General features: G+C 40.3%; 1 long non-coding RNA gene across 3 annotated transcripts in view, besides 1 other annotated feature; it reads left to right on the forward strand.

The window, feature by feature from the left end:
• Positions 1-12,312, forward strand: part of LOC102723370 (uncharacterized) — a 366,694-nt gene that overhangs the window by 56,284 nt on the left and 298,098 nt on the right. The window lies entirely within an intron of this gene.
• Positions 564-1,763: an enhancer, noted in NCBI's record as "MED14-independent group 3 enhancer chr11:21831599-21832798 (GRCh37/hg19 assembly coordinates)". NCBI's record gives its function as "activates an origin of replication core promoter dependent on BRD2, BRD4, P300/CBP and CDK7 cofactors, and independent of MED14, by STARR-seq in HCT116 cells {active_cell/tissue: HCT116}" and the evidence as "EXISTENCE:reporter gene assay evidence [ECO:0000049][PMID:35650434]".

The following is a 12,312-nucleotide window of genomic DNA, read 5'->3' on the forward strand; positions in this document are numbered from 1 at the left end:
CCAGGAGAGATCAGTCAAAAGATATTTATAAAGTTTGGGATCTAACCTCCAGTAATTTAAATCAAGTCTTTTAGGGTAGGTACCAAAATTGAACTGAAAAATGAAACAATGTAATTGTTCAGTATTGGTGCACACAGCACAGTGAAGCAAATCTTAATAAGTAAATTGTTTGTCTGAGAAGCAAGCTATTTGCCCAGTTGAGCAACCATTATCCTATGAGAAACATTTGCTCAGATGAGCACACTACTTATTCAGATACACTGATATGCAGGAATATCATGAAGCAATCAGCTAAGTTGTTTATTGGCTTAACATTTTCTTGGAATAGTTAAGTCTTGTTGACACAGGTATGCTCAGCTTTCAATCCTCAGCATTAAGCTATATGATGCAGGTGGTCTTACTTCCTGGTAAAGATGAGCTGGATTTGTCTTTATGGAGGAAGGGTCAGTGTTTTTATGGAATAAGGACATTCTAAGCAAGAGAGAGAAAAAAAACCATGAAGGTGATGAAGAATGTATATAAAATATTAAAAATAAATAAATTATTTGTTCTTTGCTGGATTTGAGTGAATAGAGAATTAGCTAAGAAAGGGAGTTTAGGTTACATAGCACAGAACTAGGAATCAGAGCTCTGTTCTCTCAACAAGGAGGTGCCTTCAAAGCTTTTAAATATCTAACCTTTGGGAAATGTTTGTGGTTTCCATGGGTTTTTATTTAATTGTTGTTAGTTTGTTTTTTGGTTAGTTTTGATAGAAAATCTGTTTTGAAGTGGTCATACAATATAATATCAATTGAGAAACTGTTTCTCCAAATTTATATTTTAGGATATGAATATGTTTGATATTTTAATACGAAGAACCATGCTTTGAAGTTGATTGACAATGAGAGTCAAATGAGAGCAGAAGAGCGAGACTTTGTGCATCTTCACTTCCATCTCTGCATACATTATGGGGGTAGAGAAGAGGCATTATCTATTCATTTTGGAGGCAAGAAAGGGACAGTCCAAAATATGACTTAATATTAGTCAAGTAACACTGCTAAGATTCATGGCAAAGAGCTCTTATAGTGATCAATATTCTATTTTTTTTCAGATTCTAAGAAGTCCCAGGAAGAACACAATAGCAATTTAATGTTCTTAGACAAATCATGAGTTTCATATTTAGGCCAATCTAGATTCTAATCCTGACTCCGATATTTAAAAGGCATATGACTTTGGACAAGTTAGTTAACCCCGTTTTCTCTCTGCTCCCTTAAGATGATGCTACCTTGTGAATGTGTTGTGAACATTAAATAAGGGAGAAAAGCAGGTATAAGGAAAATGGCTGTGCTTCAGTCAAGAATAGGCTGAGGTAAACATCCGGTGCAGCATGACACAGCAGGATGGGAGTGCAGGCACAGAATCCCATACATTATATAACCACAGTTACGTAACCATGTTATGGGTGGGCTCATCACCTGGCTCTGAGCCATTATTGTCCGTGAGTCACATAACTGAATTGCACTGCTGACTTAGAGAAAGAGAGCCACCGGCCGCCTTGCAGGTGGACAGAGGGGAGCCAAGAAGAGGCCAGTGCACCAAGGAGTGCAGCTGCAGGCATGGGGGTGGGCAGGAGGCACAGAGCCGGTGCTGAGGGGCTGCAGTCAGAGCAGGAGGTTGAGAAAAAGGCTTATGGAGAGAGAAAGAAGAAAGCAATATCCCGTCTACCTACAGTCCCTTGAGTGTTCTTTCAACTACCTGCCACCTATCCACCAGCTCCCCTTGGACCCCAGCTTGGGTGGGAACCTGACACTTGGCATACTAAGCAGCATTCTGAGGTGAGTGAGCCCTCAGTCTCCAATAATCCCTGGTCGGCTATGTGTCCGTGCTCCTTGGATGGGCCCCGGTGGAAACATGGGCGGTGGTGGATGAGTCCCCCATGAGCATGGAGAAAGCACTGAAGCATCTGGAAGCACAGTGCACCAAGAAAGAGTGAGTCTTTGCCGGCAAAGTTAGGTGGGCATTTTTGCTGTGCTAAGGGAAGTGCATGCTCAGTCCCTGCAGGATGCAGTGCAGGTAGGAAACTCCCACTTAGTCTGATACTAAGGAGGAAAAACCCCCTCTGTGGGCTTGCCCCTTGGTCCACCAGAAAATAGAGCATGAACAGCTACTTGAGACCCAAAGGTAGGCCTTCTTATAGTGTCTACACCCCCCGCTGAGTTGCATAGGCAAACAATGTTGGCAGCATTCAGGGAAACCCCTACCCACCTGGGAAGTGCTGTTAACTTTGTGGAGGCAATGGTCCCCGGAGCAGCAATTCCAGTAAATGCCCACGATGGGGCAGGATGATGCTGCTCAACCCAGTCCTGCCTGGGTGCTCCAGCTAAAGGATTACTTGCAGATGGGTGGAGGAATACAGCCGTTTGTGTTTGATTAGGGAATTGGCTGAGGTGCCCAGCTTGGTGGGACACTGGATGACCAGAGGCCACATATGAATTTGGCAATCCACTGGTCCCCTACCAGGGTACAGTGGGTGCTGGCACTGGTAGATACTAGCACAGATTATAGCCTTGCCTATGGGAACTGGGATAAGTTTCCGGGCAAGGCTGCATACATATATGGGTATGAAGGCTGGTCAGTGAGTGTAACCTGTATCTTTGCACGTTGGCATCAATTGCTTGGCTCCCCACTTATACACTGTGTTTGTGTCTCCCATACCTGAATTACATTTTGGGAGTGGAATTATAATTATTATTATTAATTTTTATTTTTTATTTTTTGAGACGGAGTCTCGCTCTATCGCCCAGGCTGGAGTGCAGTGGCGCAATCCCGGCTCACTGCAAGCTCCGCCTCCCGGGTTCGCGCCATTCTCCTGCCTCAGCCTCCGGAGTAGCTGGGACTACAGGCGCCCGCCACCGCGCCCGGCTAACTTTTTGTATTTTTAGTAGAGACGGCGTTTCACCGTGTTGGTCAGGATGGTCTTGATCTCCTGACCTCGTGATCCGCCCGCCTCGGCCTCCCAAAGTGCTGGGATTACAGGCGTGAGTCACCGCGCCCGCCGGGAATGGATATTTTGCACTACTTGGCAGCTATGCCATCTATCATGGGTTTGATGGATTACTTGGCAATGTAATAGGGACAGTACCGCTATGTGGTGGACTTGACTTATGCATTGTTCTCAATTGACATTGCTCTAGAGAGCAAGGAACAGTTTGCATTCACATGGGAAGGGCGACAATGAACTTTTACAATGTTGCTGCAGGACTATGTGCATAGACCCACCATATGCCATGGTCTCGTTGCCACAGATTTAGCCACCTGGAAATGTCCAAAGGAGGTCCACCTGTTCCATTATGTTGATGATATTATGTTAATGTCTGATTCTCTTGCAGAGTTAGAAGCAGCAACACCCCTCTTGTGACAACACCCCTCTTGTGCCCACACGTGGTTGGGCAACCATAAATCCAGGGTCCAAGGACCTGGATTGCCTGCCAAATTCTTAAGAGTCATATCCCTGGCCCACCACAGTTGGGCAGCTGCAGACCTCTGTGGGCCTCCTGGGGTATTGCCGGGTGTTTGTGCCCTATTTGGCTCAAATAATAAAACCGTTGTATCGGTTGACAGAAAAGGGGGCTACTTGGGACAATGAAGCTGAGACAACATTTCTGGCATCCAAAGGGGCTATTCAGCAAGCACAGACCCTACAAATCATTGACCAGGAGCACCCATTTGAACTTGATGTGCATGTGACAACAGGTGGGTTTGGATGGGGCCCATAGCAGTACATGGAGCACTTTAGAACAGAAGTAGGCTTTTAATCCCAACTTGGAAAGGGAGCTGAGCTCCAGTACACATTAATAGAAAAGCAGTTAGCAGCTTCATATGCTGCCCTTCAGGCTCATGAGAGTGTAATGGGACAGGCTATGGTCATCATGTAGACAACTTACCCAATAGCGAGGTGGGTATGTTCATGGGTAACAACCCCCAGGAATGGGATGGCACAGTCATCCACTTTAGCAAATTGGGGTGCCTACTTAGAACAGAGGAGTACTCTGAGTATGAGACTCTTAATAGAATTACAAGAAGTCTTGGGACCTGTAGTCCTGATTCAAGATAAGGCCATGGGTCAGCCTGAGGCACCCTTAGACCCTGAGCCATAACTGTTTAAAGAGGGCCACTCCCCGCCCCCATCCATGATGGGGCATGATATATGGATGGGTCCAGCCAGGGTACTACTTCTACCTGGACCACTGTTGTGGTCCAGCCTTATATTGATAGCATATGGTTTGATACTGGGTGTGAACAAAGTAGCCAATGGGCTGAACTCAGAGCAGTGTGGATGGTGATCACCAAGGAGGTGACACCTATGGTAATCTGCACCAATAGTTGGGCAGTTTTTTGAGGCTTAACCTTGTGGTTAAATACCTGGAAGATACAGAATTGGCTAGTTGGTCACTGGCCCATTTGGGGCCAAGACATGTGGCAAGACCTAAGGGAGGAAGGATGACCTCCTCCAACCAGGTATGGGGATGAATGGAACCTGTCGTTGTCTGCCCCAACACCCCTAAAGGAAGGGGAACAAAAACCTGGCTTTGGCCATGGACCCTCCAAGCCCCCCACTGCAGATGGCTGGCTATTGTAGCCCCCTGATGGGAGAGTCTACGGTATGATTTATAAGTCACTTCTTGGGTATTTAATACATGGCCTCCATGATTGACCATTCCTTGGGGGACTGGCCTGGGGGTTCTGCCCCGTGAGTGCATCTCCCTACTAGAAGACCTCCCTTGGCCTAGCAGATAAAGTGTGAGGAAAATGGCTGTACTTCAGTCAAGAATAGGTTGAGGTAAACATCTGATGCAAGATGACACAGCAGGATTGGAGTGCAGGCACACAGTCTCATGCATTATATAACCACAGTTATGTAACCATGTTATGGGTGAGCTTATCACCTGGCTCTGAGCCACTATTGTCTGTAAGTAACATAACTGAACTGCGCTGCTGACTCTAAGAGACAGAGCTCCTGACTGCCTTGCAAGTGGACAATGGGGAGCCAGGAAGTGGCGAGCACACCAGGGAGTGCAGCTGCAGGCATGGGGGTGGCAGAAGCCATGGAGCCAGCACTGAGAGGGGCTGGGGCTGAAGATGGTGGCCGAGACAAAAGCTGATGGAGAGAGAGAGAGTAAAGCCATATCTATCTACCTATGGTCCCTCAAGTGTTCTTTCAGCTACCCGCCACCTTCCAACCCCTCCAGTTGAACCCCAGCTTGGGTTGGAACCTGACAGCAGGGGTTAACAGTTTGGTCCAAAATTGAAAAGCATTAAATATTAACATATCTTTTTAGCCTTTAGCTTACATAGAGTTTTATGAAAATATGCACAAAGAAGGGGGAATTATGACTCTGGGCCAAATTTGTAATTGAAACAGTGGCTGAATTTCAAGCCTTCTAATAAGCCCTGGCTTCTCATGCTCATGTATTTGTTTCACCTGCAATTTTCCCTGAGACTCTTCAGTCATATTAACATCACAAGGAAAGTTAAAGTTTTAAAGCTGGTTCTCTCGAGGACATCTATCTTTTGATCTCCCAGAGAGATCAGAGCTTTAATCTGAAAAGGAATGATTATGATTGGACATTTGACTATTGTGCAGAGAAAGCCCTCCAGGGAAACACACCAGAAGTAACTATTGCTTTATGGGTAAGCATGAGGAGTGTCATGGCTAAACTGGAGGTGACAGGCAGGGAATCAAGAGTTAGGAGACAGGCTCTGCTTATTCCTGTAGACATTCAACCATGTCACAACTTTATGCTCAACTTCTTTATCTATGAATGGGAGACTTTGCAAGGCCGTTACCAGTATTCTATGAAACAATGTGGGTGAAGTGTTTTAAAATTTCTAAAAATACATATGAATATGAATGTCAATAGATTTTTATATTGATTTTCTTCAGATACAGAGATGCAAGATAAAAGCAATTAAAATATGAGGCAGCAGCAGCCAAGTTGTTATGTGATCTCAGGTTATTGCAGAGTCCTTCCTACCACAGGAAGTAGGAAACTAGCAAAAGATTAGCAATAGTGCCACTGAAAAATCTTTCAGGAATTTGTAAGTTCTCAATGCATGAGACTGCAGCAACGGACAGCACTAAGTGGGAAAAAATGTCCTTTTGATACCTTTTTCTCATATTCTGCACAATGTTTAAACACAAACTTGAAAATTTGTTCTTAATCCTGCATTCTTTAGGAAGATATTCTATTCTATTATTAAACAAGTCTTCACTGAGCACCCACTGTGTGCCAAGATGTTGATTTCCACGTAAGGAGAGCCACTTATGTGCCAGGGATCATGTTAAACACTTTAAATAATTATCTTATTCAATTTTTATAACAATTTATAAGGTTCATGTTGATATGCCCTCTTTAATATATCAATAAATAGACTCAGAAAGATAATGTAACTAATATAATGTAGATATGAGGTAGATTTGGGCAGAATTGAGGTTTAAATCCAGTTCTGCACCATTCCAGAGGCTGTGCTCTCAAACACAATGCCCTATTGACAGTTGAGTCTTTGGAAGTCTTTACTCTTCTTCAACTGATTTAATTAAATTTCACAAATGTCTGTAAAAGAGACACAAAATGAAATTTAATTTATGTCAATTTTCAGAATAAATTTGCCTCATCTAGCAATTTATGGGTCAGGATAATAATGAAAATACTGTGAATAAACATTTGAATGTTCTCATGCAGGAGGATTTTAAGCAATTTTATTTCATATTTAGTCCTAAACAATAGAAATTTAAACTTTGCTTTACATCCCCAACTTTTGGATTCAGACGTCAGATATTCACAGTGTTTTATTTGTCTTTCAAGACAGGAAAACAGAGATTCTTTATCTTGTAGTATACATGTATTTGTTGTAGTCCAGCTTATTCCATTGAAATACTATAAAATATGTCTCCAATTAATTTATTTTTCATTCTAATTTTTATTTTAGGTTTAAGGGGTATATGTGCAGGTTGGTTACATGGGTAAATTGTGTGTCATGGGGATTTAGTGTCACCTAGGTAATCAGCATAATACCTAATAAGTAGTCTTTTCAATCCTCACCCTCCTCAAATCCTCCACCTTCAAACAGGTCTCAGTGTCTCTTGTTCCCTTCTTTGTGTCCATGTGTATTCAGTGTTTTGCTTCCACTTATAAGAGAGAACACATGGTATTTGGTTCTCTGTTCTTGCATTAATTCACTTAGGATTATGGCCTCCAGCTCCATCTAGGCTGTTGTAAAAGCCATTATCTCATTTTTTATAGCGCATAGTATTCTATGATAAACAGATACCACCTTTTCTTTCTCCAGTCTGACATCAATGGGCAACTATGTTAATTCCATGTCTTTGCTATTGTGAATAGTACTGTGATGTATATACACATGCATGTGTCTTTATGGCAAAATGATTTATATTCTTTTGGGTATATACCCAATAATAGAATTGTTGGGTTGAATGGTGAGTATTTTTTAAGTTTTTTGAGGAATAGCCACACTGCCTTTTACAATTGCTGAACTAACTTAAATTCCCCCCAGCAGTGTAATGGACACGGGTATCACTTTTATCCACAATCTCACCACAATCTGTTATTTTTTGACTTTTTAATAATAGCCATTCTGACTGGTATGGGATGGTATCTTGTTATGATTTTGATTCACATGTCTCTGATGATCAGTGATATTGAGCATTTTTTCATATGTTTGTTGGCTACATATATGTCTTCTTTGGAGAAGTGTCTGTTCACGTCCTTTGACCATTTTTTAAATTTTTTTTTCTTGTTGATTTGTTTGAGTTTGCTATAGTTTCTGGATATTAGACCTTTGTCGAATTCATAGTTTGCAAATATTTTCTCCGATTCTATAAGTTGTTTGTTTACTCTGTTGCTAGTTTCTTTTATTATGCAGAGCTCTTTAGTTTAACTAGGTCCCATTTGTCAATTTTTGTTTTTGTTGCAGTTGCTTTCAGAGTTTTGTCATGAAGCCTTTGCCTGGGCCAGTGTTCAGAATGGTATTTCCTAGAATTTTTTTTCTAGTCTTTATAGTTTTAGGTTTTACAGTTAAGTCTTTAATTCATTTTGAGTTGATTTTTGTGTATAGTGAAAGGGGTCTATTTTGAATCTTCTGCATATGTCTAGCCAGTTATCCAAGTAACATTTATTGAATAGGGATATCATTCAGAGTTACCAAATAAATGCCGTAAGTCACATATGATGGAATGCCTGTGAACGCCAGAAAGTAGTTGCAAGTGTGAGAGTAAAAGAGAAAGAGATAAAAATAAGTAAAATCTATTTTCAAAACTTTCTCAACAGCAATACCGATGCACTCAAATGCAGAAATGAAAACCCATAAACTGAAAATATTCAAGTCCAGAAACTGCAATGTGCAGTGTCATCAGAAGGCTTCATTTTGTGTCCAGCCCCACACAGAAGGGAAACCACAAATCACTTCAAATATGAATAACTATAAATCATAAACTTGGTTCCTTACAATTCTTCAAGATGAGTATTGCATGGGAAAAGATTTTGTATCTTGGACCAAAAAAATAGTTTTGGAGGCTTACAAATGTTTCCCAGTGATATCAACATATCACACAAGCAGGTAGCCAAATCCCAATCTTGACTTTCCATTTATCTGACATTATTTCTGTCACAGGAGAGGATCTGAGATGGTATAGAAGTGTTTGTATCCCAGCAGCAGGTGGAAGCCAGGGGATGTCTACCAAAGTTGTAAATGCATGTATTCTGTGGTGTAGCTGAGAGATAGCTGCCTCACAGAGTATGCCATGGAAAATTCTAAGGATGATGAGGCCAGACCACTCTGCATGGATCCACAGCAGGTACGCAATGGAATGAATGTGGCTGGCTGCCATTATTAAGAGGCTTTTTTTTTTTTTTTTTTTTTGCAATTGGAGCTAGGCTTTTTACTAGTACTAAAGGTGCAGAAGTGCAACTACAGAAGTTTATGCATCATATATCTATAGTAAGAGAGAAACATAACTCAATATGTTTAATTATGATGGTCAGTTTTTTCACTAGTTTATGACCACAGACACCATAGGCCATTTTTAGTCTATAAAATTAGGCAATTTGTAGGATTTTCTGGTAACAGAGCTAATACACCCGTTCTAGAGGATAATTTAGCAATACATACCAAAAGCCTTAAAATGTGCATATCCTTTGTGTAGGCAATTTCAATCATAGAAATTAGTTTTAAGAAGGATTTGTTCAACTATCTAGCTAAAGAATGGTTACTCATGACAACATTAGTCATAAGAGTAAAAATTAGAACCGATCTAGTTCCTGTATACAGAAATGGTTAATAAATTGCCATATATCAATAACTGAAATGCTATTCAGTTATTTTAATGGTCACTGTCACTGTGCATTATGATTCTTAGAAATTTGAGAGTCACAGACCATTGTAAAAATAGGATAAACATTATGGGCATTCTCCTCTTCTAAAATGTACATGGACTTACCTAAAATCATGTCCAGAGATAAGAACAAAATGCGAAAATGTTCATGATTTCCCAAGTGCATTTAGGAATCTGAAGTTAAAAATTTTACATTAGTGACTATTGAATTATAAAACATTCACAATATATTAGCCGAAAAAAGTCAGAATATGTATCTTATATACAGAATTATTCCATCTTATATTTATATGACATCTGCATCAGTGGAAAGAAACTATATCTTGAAGTTCACTTTTGTCTTTTTAGAAGTTTGCTGAACCGGGCCAGGCATAGTGGCTCATGCCTGTAATCCCAGCACTTTTGGAGGGTGAGGCAGGTGGATCACCTGAGGTTAGGAGTTTGAGACCAGCCTGGTCAACATGGTGAAATCCCATTTCTACTAAACATACAAAAAAATTAGCCAGGCATGGCAGTGGGCACCTATAATCCCAGCTACTTGTGAGGTTGAGGCAGAATTGCTTGAACCCAGGAGGTGGAGCTTGCAGTGAGCCAAGATCGCGCCACTGCACTCCAGCCTGGGCGACAGAGCAAGACTCCATCTCAAAAAAAAAAAAAAAAAAAAAAGTTTGCTGAAACAAAAAATACTCAATTGCCAATATTAAAGAGAATTTATAACTTTTAAGCAAAGGTCACATATTTCAACAAAAATATTTTATACATAAAGTAATGATAGGTCTTAATTTGGCAGTTTTCTGTGTTTCTGTGTAAGCCTTTTGTGCAGGTGGTAGGGGGCATGACTGAAAGTATTACAGTTAGCTGCAATTATTATAATAGAAACCAATTCTAGCTAATTTAAGCAAAATGACCGTTTATCAAAAGGACAGACACAAGCTAGATGACAACTTCTAGAATGGTGAAGACCCACATGAATTTCTCTGCAGTGAACCAACTATAATGTAAAACATCCAACTAGTTAATCTTTGGAAATTTTCATAAGGACGTAAAACAAATGGATAAACATTTATTCAAGAAAATCTGTTGAATTTCATCAGAATTCTGTGGCACTTGAGTTACGACTCACTCTTCCTATCTTAATTCACCATGGTGTAAATTTCAGTCCAGGTAGATGAGGCCAAAAAACAGGGCTCCTTCTGTCCCCAACACCTGCATTTCATTTAAGGACTATAGCATTTCCCTGGGAGAGGCGATTTGCCATATTTCCTTATCTTTCCAAGCTTCATGTTGGAGAGGCTAAAATCAAACTTTCTGCAGCTGGGAGGTCAAGAACACTCCTTTTCCACACAGTCCTGAAAAAATTAGAGCAATAAGCCAGTAATTAGTTAGCCTAATAGCTGAGTGTTATACCAACAGAAGCACACAGATTAAAAAAGAGATCAAAAATAGAGGTAACAAGAACCCTGCTAACACCACTGTAATCTCACAAACACTAGACACATGCCCCACACTCTACTTTTTGAGGAGTGAAGATAAAGTCTACACATTGTGGGAGATAATAGGCTTTATCCAAATAGCCTAACCAAAGAACTAAACAAATAGATAAGCCAATAACAATAAGCCCTGGATGTGGTCAGTAGGAAGTTAGCAAAATACATTATCTAAAATGGGCATATTAAATAAAAATTATGATGATAAATGAACAGGCAATAGAAACTGCCTGTCAGAGGGGTCAGATGTAAAACTTAGCAGACAGAAACTTCCAAGAAGCCATTATAATCATGCTCAAAGAAATAAAGTTATAAAAGTAAACCATAATTACACAAGAAAAGACAAAAATTCCAAACATAGAATGTAAAGTGATAAATGTCATAGAAGGTCTGAATAAAAATTCTATATTTGAAAAGTAAAATCATAAAAGAGAAACTCACTGGAGGGTCCCAACAATAGATTTGAATAGTTTAATAGAGATTATGTTATCCTCAGAAAAGAGGGAGAAAAAAAGATGTGAGAAAAATGAATATAATCCCAAAGAAATATAGGCAAATATTAAGCAGAAAAAACCTATGTATAATTGAAATACTAGAAAAAGAGAGGGAGAAAAGAACAAAATAAATATTCAAAGAAATAATACCTTAAAATGTCCCAAGTTTGATGAAATTATAAAGCTAACATCAAAGAAGTTCAAGAAACTTTACCTAAAATAAGCCAAAAGGATTGGGTCAGGCATGGTGGCTCATTTCTGTAATCCCACCACTTTGGGAGGCAGGGACAGGAGGATTGCTTGAGGCCAGGAGTTAGAGACCAGCCTGGGCAACATAACAAAAACCCACCTGTATAAAAAATAAAACATTAAAAAAATTAGCCAGACACAGGTACATGTTTGTGGTCCTAGCTACTCTGGAGGCTGAGGAGGGAGGATCACTTGAGCCCAGGGGTTCAGGATTACAGTCACCTACGATTATACCACTGTACTCCAGCCTGAGCAGGGTGAAAGAGCAGGATCCCATCTCAAAAAGAGATTCAATCTAGACACTTTTCAGTAAAAATATCGAGAGGAAGAGAGAAAAAATCTTGAGAGTACCAAGAGAAAAAATAACATATCAGATAAAAAGAAACCCCGATAGTATTTATAGTTAATTTCTCATCAGAAATAACAGATACCAGAAGGCACTGGGGTGACATATTCAAAGTGCTGAAAAATACACTTTTAAGCAAGAATGTTATATTAAGCAAAAGCAAAACAAGGTTTTAAAATTAAGGCAAATAAAAACATCCCCAGATAAAGAAACACTGAAAGAAGTTGTTGCTCACAAATCCACCTTACAAAAAATACTAAAGAGGCCAGGTGTGGTGGCTCTCTCTTGTAATCCCAGCACTTTGGGAGGCCGAGGCAGGTGGATCACGAGGTCAGGAGTTCGAGA

The sequence above is a fragment of the Homo sapiens genome, chromosome 11 (genome assembly GCF_000001405.40).
Source record: "Homo sapiens chromosome 11, GRCh38.p14 Primary Assembly".
NCBI lineage: Eukaryota > Metazoa > Chordata > Mammalia > Primates > Hominidae > Homo > Homo sapiens.